Here is a 14134-nt window from a genome sequence, read left to right as displayed (position 1 = left end):
CTCTAGTTTGCTACTTTAAATTTTCCCTTTTTTTGTCTCCTTAATTGCCAGCCATGTTTCCCATATGAATAGACTCTCCCTGGCTGGGAAAGCTGGGCAAACTCCATTTGACCTTTTGATTTATAAGACATTAAGGGCTCCTTACCCAACCCCCTTCTTCAAGGAATTAACCTGTGTAAGCAGATCCTCAGCATTTCAAAGGAGCCCAATTAACTGATAAGGTACTGGAACAAACAATGTATGAAGTTCCCAGGATTTTTCTCAAAGAGATAACAACATAAAGCCTTGAGTTCATGCCCAGCATAGCATCATATCTAACTATAATGAAGGATTTAGAGCCCTGCACCTGGTAACGTTGCTTTTTGTAACCATTTGTCTTTTAAATTGTTTATCTCTCTGTAACCATTTGCTTCTTTTGATTCTTGCATGTTTTTACTTCTGTAGAATTATTGTATTTGAGTTCCCCTCCCCTTCCTAAACCAAGATATAAAAGTTAATCAAGCCCCTTCCTCGGGGCCGAGAGAATTTTGAGCGTTAGCCATCTCTTCGGCAGCCGGCTTAAATAAAGGACTCTTAATTTGTCTCAAAGTGTGGCGTTTTCTCTAACTCGTTTGGGTATAACACTACAAGTGGGTTCCTGGGAATGATGCCAGTTCAGAGGAAAAGTGGGTGGGGCTATTCATATTTGGGCTCTTTTTTAGAAGATTCATAAAACAGATATTTTCCTATACGTTCTGTGACTCCTGATTTACTATCCCTTCCCAGAGGGTAAGGTCCCTAAGTGTTTTGCGGTATATCCATGTCTATGGAAAGAAAGCAAGTTCTGGTGAATCCCATAAGGAATGTCCTTTGATGAGAAGTGGAGACCTTGGTCATGAGGCACATCATGTATGATTTTCTATAATTCCGTTAGATTCACTGTAATTTTGGGGGGTGTCCTGTGGAATGGGTCTTCTGTGTCCCTGCATGTTCAGCTATATCTGTGTGGTGCCACTTACACTTAATGAGATGAGATTCCTGCTGCTTGTATCAGGTCACTGGTGATCTCTGAAGCTGCTTCTGGTTTCTGCTTTAATATGTAAAGAGCATGTCAAACATCACCCACATTCTTACAATAATAAAAGCCTGGAAAATTGATTATCAATAATTTCTTGAATCTGTTGAAGAAATGAAATTGCAGGGAAAACCAGGACCCCCAAAACTAGAAAGACATTAAAATAGAGATAATCAGACTGATGGATCAAAGTTCTGTGGCAATAAGATACCAAATTATAAACAAGGCCTAAAGTCATGGATTAAGTCACTCACCCCTACACTTAAAAAAATGACTGTACTGTAACTTCCACAGGGCTTTTTTGTTTTCTGTAGCACCTAAACAAGCACTGGTTCTGAGGTAAGCATATTAAAACATTTGCAGCTCATGGAACTCCAAACGTGGTAACTGACCCTCTCCCACAAGCCATAAATAGAGCTTTGTTTGGACAAGAGACAGATTTCAGTAACTGTCTTCTGAGAAGAGACTACTGACCATGAACTTGTCCTGGCAATTTACAGAGACTGTGCAGTGTGTGTCTTTCTGCCTCTGCACAAAGCCCTTTTGATGAACAGGGCCCGATTGTCATTCATTTAGTTCTTAAGTCCTCATCCCCAAAGCAAACACTAAATGCATGTAACATGTGTGTTTGCTTATTAGACATGACAGCCTGCCCACTATGTGAACATCAACAGATCCTTCTATAGCCTGCTGAGTGTGTACACTTGGCCAATCCATTTGCATGAATTCATTTCTCCTCTTTCCCTCTCTTGAAGTGCCTGCTCACTGTCTCTGTGGGAGGCTTTGCTTCCCAGCCTGTTAAGGTGGCTGTCCTGCAGCTTTAACCATTTCTCAGAAGTAAAGTCTCCTTTCTAAATTTATAAATTATGTGACTGTTCCGTTGAAAGTGCAAGCTGGTGGGAACAGTTACATGGTAATTCGGTAAATTGCTGGTGGACAGGTGTGGACAGGGATAGGGTAAGAACTCCTGGGGGCTGCACACCCCACACTTCGATGGAATTTCCCTCCAGAAACTTCTGGGTTCTCAGGATGATAATCCAAACAGATTCCTTCATGGCTCTGTCATCAGGAGAGCTACTCTCTGATAAATATGCTCAGAACTTCCTCCAGACAGATCCTACAGAGAAAAAATGCTTTTCAAGATCTCTATTCTATGTGAGGGGAAGGTATTCTTTTCCATCCCAGGCAGTTTCATCTTAGCCTTCCTGTGTCATAAAAAGGTCAGGTTCAAGACAATAATATGTGGATGCTGCAGCCAGGAGGGGGGAGTAGAAGACGGAGGAAAATCAGCTGCACCACTGGAGACTCCTTGTAAAGGGCACAGTCTAGAGAAAAAACATCAAGAAAACATTGAAATTCAATTTCCAGTACATATACTGCTCCCCTGCCCACCACATCACCTCTTCACCAGTATGATCAATCTGGATTAAAGAGAAAAGTGTGGCAATGCACAGACTCTGTCCAAGGACTAGACCTTAGGGAAACCAAAGGCAGAGGGAGAGGAAAAGTTAAGGACAGTGAAGCGGTTTAAAGCCTCTGAGACCAACAGCTTCAGGACCAAGGCCACGGCCCCTCTGTCAATGGCCTTAGATTTACCTCTCACGGGGCATCCACAGGGTTCCCAGGTGAGAACAGGCAAAAACAAGGTGAAGACACTTTCCAAATCTCCAGCAGTACTGAGCTTGCTTTAGCTCTGTTTGAAGAAACAAAACAACAACAACAAACAACAACAACCGCAAATATAACCAGGATTAAGGTCAGCGTTGGAAGCACTTTTATTAATTTTTTTAAATTTTTTATTTCTCAGATGGGGTCTTGCTCTGTCTCCCAGGCTGGAGTGCAGTGGTGCGGTCTCGGCTCTGCAACCTCCACCTCCTGGGTTCAAGCAATCCTCCACCCTAGCCTCCCAAGTAGCTGGGATTACAGGTGCATGCCACGGCGCCCAGTTAATTTTTGTATTTTTTAGTAGAGACAGTGTTTTGCCATGTTGGTCAGGCTGGTCTCGAACTCCTGACCTCAGGTGATCCGCCCAAATTGGCCTCCCAGAGTCCTGGGATTACAAGTTAATTGAGTTAATAAAGCTGTTCTGAACTATGAAAAACATTAGTTTGCTCCCAGATTTTCTTGATTTCAGTTTGATTATTATATTCAGCTGCTGCCCTAATATGTTTGAGCATGTTACTATTTAAATGACCCTGGCTGTTTGATTTGTTATATATAAATCTAAACTAAAACAACTTAAAGGACAGGTTTGTACTATTATTAGGATGAGATATTCTGGGTGCCCCTCATTTGCTCCATGAACCTCCACATTTTTAATTTAGAATTCACATAAATTCCTTGTGAGTTGTGTCAGTCATCGAGAGACCTAATCTCTAACACCTTTACCCAGAACCTTCTCCAGATAGACCACCCACAGGAAGAACATTTATAGTAATTTATCTACATGGTGGAAGGTACTTCACTGCCATTGTAGAACCCTCTTCCCAGCCTTCCTTTATGAGGCAAATGATTGCCAGTATGGTAAGATTGAACAAAAGGATGTGCCAGTAGGGTAAGATTGAGCAAAAATAGTCCTGAGATGCTGCAGACAGGGAAGGACGTAATAGACAAATATCAGCTTTATTAGAGGAGACTCCTTGTAAAGGTCATAGCCAAGAAAAAGAAGACAAAATCACTGAGATTAAATTCTAAGAATCTTGGTCCAGTTCAATCAAGCCATCAACAGCCAGGTGGCTTCAGTGGCCACTATGCATATTACCCCATGCCTAAATGTTCTGGCTTGTACAAAGAGCTTCTCTGTAAATTGCACATTGCCATAGTGGAAGATGGCATGGGAGATTTTGTGACAAACACTTAAGGTGCAATAATAGCTATTTTTCCTTTATCATGACAATATGTGGCATGCTTCTAGATTCATTTCATGCCAAAGAAGTTCCTCAGAAGGGTAAGGAAATGGAGAATCTTACATGGTCCAATGCAGTCCCCAAGAAGGGACTTTGAATGGACAGTTACACTGGTTACTACAATGTTGTCTCTGACCTTCTCAGGATCGAAGATAGTCATGAGTATCAAGGTGGAGATGGGTCTAGGTGAGAGAAAAGGAAGTAGTGGTTCTTGAGAAGAATGGTATGGCCAAGATAAGCCTGAACTATCTCTCCTCTTCCAGTTCCTGCAACTTCATATTGCCTGATTGAGGTCACTTGCCTATGGTGGTAATGACATCAGCAATGCAATAAATTCTCTGGTGGCTTTATATCTGGTTTATAACATGGGAGATGTTTCCTCAAGAGTGGTGATGCCAGTGTGGCTTCTGCTCTCTGGTGGTGTTGGAATCTGCATTAGTCTGTGGGTTTGGAGGAAGGAGATTCAGGCCATGGGGAAGAATCTGACACTCTCACACCCTCTGGTGCCTTCGGTACTGGACTGGCTCCTGCCCTCACTATGGTGATTGCATCAGATATTGGCCTCCCCACCAGTACAACACGTTGTAACATGGGCTCCTTTGTACCTGGCTTTAATCCAAGAAAGTTGTCGACTTGACTCTTTCGTGACATTGTATAGCCTGGTTTGTCACAATCTTTATTTCTGGAATTATCAGTGCTGCCATCTTGGCTGTCTTCAAGTATGTCATCCTCACAGTGTGAAGCTGTTTGACATTAACATTTTTGTCAATGTTTGGGACTACCTTACATATTCCGGCTCAGTTCAAAATGAGCTATGTAATGTAGCCAGGTTTCCACTGAGTTCCACTTTGCTTCTTGGCTGTCTATTCCTGCGCAAGTTTCTATGTATTTTGTATCAGGCTTCAATTCCATTATGTTTAAAATGTTGTCTCTAAAGATAAACAAAGATTTTTTTAAAACAACCAAACATGCAGCCATTTGACCGAGTGTGGTCTGCATTGTTAGTCTCACCATCTTCTGCCCTAACAAGCACCGAATCTAACAACACAAATATCATGGAAGCTTTCCTTGGAGTAGCTCCTGTAATTAGAATCATTGTATTCTGCCCTCCTGTCAGTGGTGGAACGTTCTATTGGCACATGTGGAAACCTCTTAGAGGGACGAGTTTCTTTGAACACAATAAAATTTTAAGTTAGGAATAACTTATTTGAAAGCAATTCATTGAAGGTTATTGCTAAGAAGAAGTTAGAAACAGTCTTTTGGCAGTCATTTCTTCAAGATGTATGGCAGTGTGGGAGGGATATATAAAGTGGAATAGGAACTTGGGCTAGTTAAATGGAATAGCCTCCAATGTTAATCTGTTTACCTTTTAACTGAATGAAAAAGCCTATAGTTGTAAGAAAAGAAAAAAAACACAATCCTCACACATTCCCTTCCCATCAGCATTGAAGATGAGTGTGGCAATGCAGAGACTCTATATAGGGAGGAGAACATAGGGAAATGCAAAGACAATGGGAGAAAAAAGTCAAGGACAGTAGAGCAACTGGAAGCTTCTGACACCAACAGCTTGATGAACAGGGTCACTCAACCCTTGGTGGACACAGAGTCACTTCTCTTAGGGAAACTGCAGTATTCTCAGGTGACAATATGCAAACATGATGAATGTACACTTGCTACGTCTCCAGTTGTGTACTGTTTTCCTTACTTCTGTTTGGAGAAGGAAGTCATATACTCAGGTCTAGTATCCGTGTAGAGGGTGCTCACCATTTGCAAGATACTAGGAAAAATGGCAAGTTAGAGGCCCACTGTTGTAAAAATCAACCAGTTCTGTGTGTGTGTGTGTGTGTGTGTGTGTGTGTGTGTGTGTGTGTGTTATTGAAAAAGAAGACATGGAGTGGGCATTGATCCACAAGTATATATACCTACAGGTATTCTTAGATGTAATATTCAATTGCAGGAGACCAAACAAGATAAAGCATCCCCCAAAACCCTTGAAAATTTTTGTGCTCACTATGTGTCCACTGATTAAATGTATCCTGAGCTCCAGGGAAGGGCTCCCCGATGGTTTCTTAGAGTTCACTGGGTCTCCTAAGGTCAATGTTTTCAAAAGATGGTGTCAGTAACATATGGTGTCACTGAAGGAGCATTTTAAACTAGGGCATGACCTCTTCCTATAGCCCTAGAGACACTGAGAGAGAAATCCTCTGTGAGCCCAGATGGAAACCTCCATGCAGGGCAGAGGCAGTGCTGCAGGGGGCGCCCAGGACCCACCCAGAACAGGCTCCAGCCCCAGAGCTGGTGCACAGGAGGCTGCAGAGGGGATTTCTCCCAGAATTGAGTGTTGTTTTATTGAAAACCAAAAAATTATAACATGTTAAAATTAGAATTTTGCAAAGACTATTTCTATTATCTCTATACATTTAGAAATAAACAAATCAACAATTCAGTGAGAACCACATTTAAAAGGCAAAATTGTTACTTGTTTGAGATATTTTCCTAGTAAAAAGATGAAGAACAGGGATGGTTTTATTAAATCAAAAGGTACACATTTCAGAAGACACAGAGATCCCAAGAGTAAGACTGCAGACAGCAAAGCCTAGAAAGGGCGGAGGCTGTCCATGTGCCATGTCCTGTGTGAGTCACCTTCTTAGTGGAGAAGTTCTCCCTTCACAAAGTTTTGGGCATATAAAGGGAAACACGACATTAAATAAGAACGAGGACTTGTACCTCAGCATCCCACAGTTGTGTGGTTCATGTGAGATCTATTTTCTCTTTCTCATGCTGGATCAAGGGTAAGGCTATGAAGTAGTAGTTCTCGTGAATATGCAAATCACCTGAGGTGAACACTACAGATATGTCTGTGCCCTGAGAGCATCACCCAATAACCACACACCACAAAGACACTCGCTGAGAAGAGCAACCCTAAGACACATAATTGTCAGATTCACCAAGGTTGAAATGAAGGAAAAAGTTTTAAGGGCAACCAGAGTTGTGCCATGGCACAGTGTTGTGCCATGTCCTTTCTCTGTTTTCTTGCCTGTTTATTTATGTCAGATGTGCCACCTACATGGAATAAGGTCAGAATTCTGCCTCCAGTAACACATCAAAGGTGACCTTTGATTGTACTTTTGGTTTATGCTCCAAAATATTGATTATAAAATTCATCACCGTCATATTTTATGTCAAAATAAATCTGCATAATCTGAATGTCAGTACATTTTGGAATCTATTAAATAACTGAAATTGCAAGAAATATTACCCACTCCAAAAACTGGAGAGATGGGCATGTCCAGAATGGCAGTTAGCACTTGCTTACCTGGTGCAGAAACTGCAGAAGCCACAAGCTGTTGAGGGCACTTACATGGTAACCACTACGGACGTCTGAAAGACAAATGTGGACTCGGTAAATGTGACCGTTCCAGAGGGTCTTATACTTCTAAGGTTTCTGGACTTTCTCTCCAGAAACCTCCAGATTCTAAAATATACAATCCAAATAAATTTCCGATGGGTCAGAATTGAAGATGAAATGAAGATGATTAATTACAGAGAAATATACCAGGAGCCCACTTCAAAAGCTTCTAAAGGGAATGACTTTTCCAGAACCTTATCCTATGTGAAGGAAGACAAATCTCCCATTCCAGATTCTCCCCCATTCTTCCATTATTATATGAATGAGTAAAGTTAGCCAAAAGGGGTAAGACGTACATAAATAGTCCAGGGAGGCCGAAACCTCAAAAGGGAGTAACAGCCAAAAATGAGCTTTTCCCCTGGAGATGCTTTGTCAAGGTCACAGCCCAGAAGAGGAAGCCTATTGAATCTCTAGGTTTCCATTGGAAGAACAGGCAGTGCTTACCTGCACTGCACAATCCATTCTAACTAGGATGATGGCTATGGATTAAAGATGAAAGTGTGGCAATGCACAGACTCCATCTGAGGAGAACACAGAAATACTAAGACAATGGCAGAGGGTGAGACAAAGACAGTAGAGCAATGTGAAGCCTCTGACATCGTGATTTTTAAGACCAACATCTTGTAAATGCCATCATAGTTCTCAGCTTCTTTTATTATGGGACCTTTGCTGGTTTCCTAGCTGAGAAAGTGAAAATAACAACCTGCATGGACTTCCCAAGTCTCCACCTGTATCCTGTTTGCTTTAGATCTCTAGGAGAAGAAAGTCAGATAACTGGGCCTGGTGTCAGTGTAGGAGGCACTTCCTAAAAGCCACATATTAGGAAGAAGGGAAAATGTGTGTTATTGGAATAGTGGATATGGAGTGGGCTTTCATCTGAATGTATCTGCACCTGCTAGTATTCTCAGATGCAACATTCAACTGCAAGAGCCCAGTGAAGAAACATGGCACTCGCAAATCTCTTGTAAGTTTTTGTCTTCATTTTGGTTCCACTAATGAAGTGAATCTGGAGCTTCAGGGAAGGGGCTCCCTCCTGTGTCATTGAATCCTTGCTCTGGGTCTCCCTGCAGAGTTCAATAGGTTTAGTAAGGCTAATCAATTGTTTCAAGAGATGGTGTCAGCAGCATATGGTGTCACTGAAGGAGTATTCTACACTAGCACACAGCCATTTCATGCTGGGCTAGAGAAGCCTGGGGGAAATGATTTGAAGTCTCAGCAAGGAACCTCCTTGCAAGGCAGGGGCTGGGCTGTCGGGGGCACCGAGCAGGTGAGTCAGAAATCAATATGTAAAGATGAGGACCTATGGATATGAATTGAAAATATATAAATACTTCAAAAAATTCCAGTAAATTGAGTCCAAAATTAACCCCAAATTATTCAAAACACAAATTCCTTGACAATTATTTTGGGAGCAGTGAGTTCATAAAGAATTCAAAACTACTGTTTCAGCTTCTGATTCTTATTGTTCCTGAGATGAGAAAATCATCTCTAATCACACATCACACAGCAAATCTGTAAACAAGAGTGTTTCTATGGAAGATCCTGGGGGATCTGAACACCAGGCAGGTGCTGGAGACCCTGTTTCAGGAGCGCCCAGCAGATCTCAGAGGGACCTGCTGGTCACTCACGTGGGACATCAGCAGTAACTTTCTCAGTCACCAGTCAGCTGTGCTGGTGACTGATGGACCCAGGACAGAACCAAGGCACCTCCTCAGTGTCATGGAGAGTGATGGTTCCAGAAATCATCCAGGTGCTCTCTGTGCTTATAAAATGTAGGTTCACTGTGAGGAGCGTGTTCTGAGGGGGATTGTTCTGTGAAAGGACCTCTGTTCACGAGTGTTCATAAATGGAGCAGGGCATGCATTTCCTCAAACAGGAATAGCGCTTGGACCATCAGCATCTCACTCTTGTAAATCTGATGTGTCATTTATCTTCCCTTTCTTATTATTGACCAGGCTTTGCGCTATGAAATGCTCTGTCTCATGAATATGCAAATAACCTGAGATCCACTGAGGTGAATTTGGATGTCTGTGCCCTGAGAGCATCACCCAACAACCACATCCCTCCTCTATAGAAGCCCCTGAGAGCACAGCTCCTCACCATGGACTGTACCTGGGGGATCCTCTTCTTGGTGGCAGCTGCCACAGGTAAGGGGCTCCCAAGTCCTAGTGATGAGGAGGGGATTGAGTCCAGTCAAGGGGGCTTTTATCATCTCCTCCCTTCTCCTCACAGATGTCCATTCCCAGGTTCAGCTGTTGCAGCCTGGGGCTGAGGTGAAGAAGCCTGCGTCCTCAGTGAAGGTCTCCTGCCAGGCTTCCAGATACACCTTCACCAAATACTTTACACAGTGGGTGCGACAGGGCCCTGGACAAGGGCATAGTGGTTGGGATGCATCAACCCTTACAATGATAACACACACTACGCACAGAAGTTCCGGGGCAGAGTCACCATTACCAGTGACAGGTCCGTGAGCACAGCCTACATGGAGCTGAGCAGCCTGAGATCTGAAGACATGGTCGTGTATTCCTGTGTGAGAGACACAGTGCGAAAACCCACATCCTGAGAGTGTCAGAAACCCCAGGAAGGAGGCACCTGTGCTGACACAGAGGAGATGACAAAGATTATTAGATTAAAGATTTTCTTAGAAAATGACACTAAGTCATTAAAGAAAAGGAACAATATTAATGTGTATTTGAGAAATTTTAATTATTTGAGAGATTTTTCATACAGCATTTATTCTGTAAACAAATTTCAATGATTACAGAATGAATCAAATTAATGAAACTAATACAGAACTTCCTCTGAAGGTATCTTTGTAAACATTAATTTCTTAATCAGTGCTGTAAGTATTTTGGAACACAGACACAAAATCACATTTTAAGTCTGCATTTATGTCTATTAAAAATGCCAAAAAAATCTCCTTTTGTGCATGTAGCATTTTGAATTCCCACCATCAATGCATGATAGTTCTTGGTTTTCCACATTCATATTGTCATGTATCCTTACGAGAATTGTGTGTTTTAACCAATCTAGTAGGTGAGTAATGGGATCTAATTTTTATTTAAATGCACATGTCCCTCCAAAAGTTCATATTTAACAATTTTCGTATAACTTCTGTTGAGACGCCTCTCCTGACATTCGGTTCATTTTAACTGCATTGCTTCATTTCGATTCATTGCAAGTTGACTTGCATATTGTTTATAAAAGTCATTTCACAAATTAAAAGAATTCATTTCACAAATATGTGACTTGGAAGTATTTTCTCCAAGTCTGTGGCTGTCTTTATTCCCTTATCAGTGTGTATTGCAGAAACATATGTGTGTGTATGTGTCTGTGTGTGTATGTGTCTGTTTGTACAAATTTAGACTCAAAAACATGTAAAATTGCATTCATTCATAGATGATGTATTTGGCAATATATATGAAGTCTCATTATAAAATACACTAATAGTGATTATTTTTTCCATGTCTCTCAACTCAGGCCACAATCAACTCATGAGTGTTTAAACTTCATCTACTTGATTGGAGGACTATCCATTTCAGATATTTGGAATACTTCTGTAAGGAAATGTGTTCGTCTTCCCAATATTTATTTATATAATCATCTATTAATATGTGTATTGGTTTATGAATATATATTTCATACTCTGAAGAAGATCCATGCTATATTATTCATTTTATCGTTCAAATCACCACAGCTTTATTAGGTCCTGGGAGCTCATTTAATTTGGATCCTGTATCCTTACAGCACACCTCATCCTTTTGTTTTTGAATACTTCCCTGTTTCCTTGTATTACAATAAATTCTAAGCTCATTTTCTATATTACCTTTTTTGTACATAGAATTAGCCTTTTTTCTAAAGATTGCTTGTTTCTAATGTTAACGAATAGCAGTAAAATAAAAAAAATTGTGATACCGTGTACAATTACTTCTAGGACCTCTCAACCTACTGGCCTAGTAGACGTGCATGTTTATATGAACCCATGTTTGTGGACGCATCAAAACTATTTATGTAACTAATCTTCTGTAACTTTATTATATTAAAAATGAGAACACACTGGTCTCCTGACCCAACTATGCTACCACATGGACCTTTCTAGCCTTCCTTCCTTGACTGTCCATAACCACCCACTGCAAAGTGAGGAATCCTATCCTACCAACTGCCTTATTATTACCTAGTTGCACAATTTTAGGACACATGCATAGCGGTATCAGAAATGTAAAGCTCATTGGAAATATGTTTATCTACTAGAATAGAGTGTTATGTGTAGTTTCTTTACATTTTAAACTTATAGAATTTCCTCATTTCCAAAGTTAATTAGATTAGCAACTTCATTTTCTACTTTCTTTAGTGAAGTCATTTCAATTACATTATATAATATCATTTATTTGAAATTCGGTATAAACCAAAACTATAGTCAAGTAAACAGATAGAGGATATTCAAGGAACTTAGAGAGTGAGTATTAAATAAGTACAAATGGCACTGTTTAAGAATAGTAAAATTATTTTTAGTGATATAAAATGGTTGAGACACGATGCAGTTAATTTGTCTAAGCTCATAAATGTGTGATGGAAAATATAAACCTAAATATATACAATTTTTGTAAAAAGTATTTAGCAGTTCATTAACCCCAGGATTAAATGCAGACTGTATCAAGTTATCTAATAACTTATTTGGTGAGGGTGGGGATGTCATGAGATGCATGCAAAAAAGAATGAAGTAATTTTCCTCATTTGCATTTAAGATGTTACCATTCACTAAAGACCTTTAATTTTAAAAAAATCAATTTTCTACGTGACCCAGGTTTTTTCTTCCTGACGAGCAAATAACCCAGATAATTCTTTTCTTTCCTTGGTTGAGAAAGATTTTCCCCAAACTTCAGCTCAGTTCAGGCACACACTGTCCCTGAATGGGCATTTACCCTCAGATGGGTAACACACCTGTCAACATGGGGACTCTTCTGTCAGACAAACACACCTTTACTCACGTGGATTCTTCCCTCAGACCAACACACCTGTCCCCACATGGACTCTTTCCTCAGACCACCACATATGTCCTTACATTTACTCTTTCCTCTAGTAATGACATTTCCTCAAGTGGACTCTTGTCTCAGACAAACAAACATGTCTGCATGTGAACTCTTCACTCTGATAAGTACAAATATTTCCACAGTGACTGTTTCCTGACACAAGCACATATATCCAATGTTGAACTGTTTTATGGCAAAATGATCTCAAGATAATAATTATAAAATCCCTCCTGACAAGGTGTAGATCTGCATTTTTTTATTGTACCTTAACTTTGCCTTATTGTCAAGAACAATAGTTTGCAGCTCTATATGCACCGATTAGAGATTGGTGTCCATTTTCTCTGGAAATGTATTTTTATATTCTTACTGGATGTATTTTTTTGATAATGTTTGCTACTGTGAAGATACCTGAACAGGGTCCACACTAGAAAATAAAAAAGACTAATCGGCAGATTAACCCTGTGCATCCAGACCCACGAGTCCTTTGATCCTGCCCCCCTGAAATGGAGACACAGAGGACAGATGAGCAATGCTGAGCGGTGCACCCAAGACCACAAAAAGAAAGACAAGGAAATGTGTCCCCTCCCCTCCTCATGAAAGGCAGCTCATCCCCTGTTCCTTCAGGCCCTGGTGAGGAGCCAACCCATGTCTGTTCCCTTCCTCGGTGTCCACACCATGGGGTCTGCCCTGATTTGGGCTTCCCTTCTCATCACCCTCAATATTAGTGTCCCTTGTGAATCAGGTCCAGCTGCGGCTGCTCCACATGGGGCCGTTCTTCCATTTCCTCTGTGTTTGCAGAAGTCCTGTGTGAAATTTACTGATAGAGTCAGGGGGGAAAAATTGTACAGCCCAGTGGTTCACTGAGACTCTCATGCAAAGCCTCTGATTTCACCTTTACTGGCTACAGCATGAGCTTGGTCCAGCAGGCTTCATGACAGGGATTGGTGTGGGTGGAAACAGTGAGTGATCAAGTGGGAGTTCTCAGAGTTACTCTCCATGAGTACAAATAAATTAACAGTCCCAAGTGACACCTTTTCATGTGCAGTCTACCTTAAAGGGACCAAACTGAAAGTCAAGGACAAGGCCTTGTAATACTGTGAGAGACACAGGAGAGGGAATATCTGCGTGAGCCCAGACAGAAAAATCTCTGCAGGAAGACAGGAGGGAGCTGCATGGTAGATGCTCCTCAGAACCACCAGGGCACCTTGGGGACAACCTGGGGGCACTCAGAACCACCAGGGTGTGCTTAGGACCACGGGACACTCAGGATATTAGGGGGTGCTCAGGATCACGAGGGGGCGCTCATGACACCAGGGGACACTCAGAATCACAAGGGGGCGCTCAGGACACGAGGGTTTGCCTGGGACCACCAGCAGGCACTCAGGTCACCAGGGGGTGCTCAGGACCACCAGGGGGCGCTCAGGACACCAGGGGGCGCTCAGAACCACCAGGGGGCGCTCAGGACACCTGGGGGCGCTCAGAAGCATCAGGGGTGCTCAGGATATCAGAGTGCCCTCAGTACCACGAGGGGGCGCTCATGACACCAGGGGCACTCAGAACCACCAGGGGGCGCTCAGTACAGGGGGGTTCTCTTAGGAGGCAGCTCCAAATCAGAAGCCTGAGAGGCTGTGGTTTTCTTTTAAACCTTGGTGATTCCCGACCTGGTCAAGCAAAAGTCTTCCCCAGGATCTCTCACCATTTCTTCCTTGTAAGTCCATGATTACTTTTACCTACA

At 41.8% G+C, this 14134-nt stretch overlaps 3 pseudogenes and 1 further gene; all 4 read left to right on the top strand.

Moving 5' to 3' along the window:
- IGH (immunoglobulin heavy locus) overlaps window positions 1–14134 on the top strand; it is a 1293408-nt gene that overhangs the window by 695596 nt on the left and 583678 nt on the right.
- SLC20A1P2 (solute carrier family 20 member 1 pseudogene 2) lies at window positions 3757–5364 on the top strand (annotated as a pseudogene).
- On the top strand, window positions 9471–9907 carry IGHV1-17 (immunoglobulin heavy variable 1-17 (pseudogene); annotated as a pseudogene). The gene is given in 2 exon segments: window positions 9471–9516; window positions 9602–9907. Coding segments are annotated over 2 exon segments (352 nt in total).
- IGHVIII-16-1 (immunoglobulin heavy variable (III)-16-1 (pseudogene)) lies at window positions 13198–13503 on the top strand (annotated as a pseudogene). Its single transcript is given in 1 exon segment — window positions 13198–13503. A coding segment is annotated over 1 exon segment (306 nt).

Source organism: Homo sapiens, chromosome 14 (assembly GCF_000001405.40).
Source record: "Homo sapiens chromosome 14, GRCh38.p14 Primary Assembly".
In the NCBI taxonomy this organism is placed as follows: Eukaryota; Metazoa; Chordata; class Mammalia; order Primates; family Hominidae; genus Homo; species Homo sapiens.
This window is presented reverse-complemented; position numbering and strand designations above follow the sequence as displayed.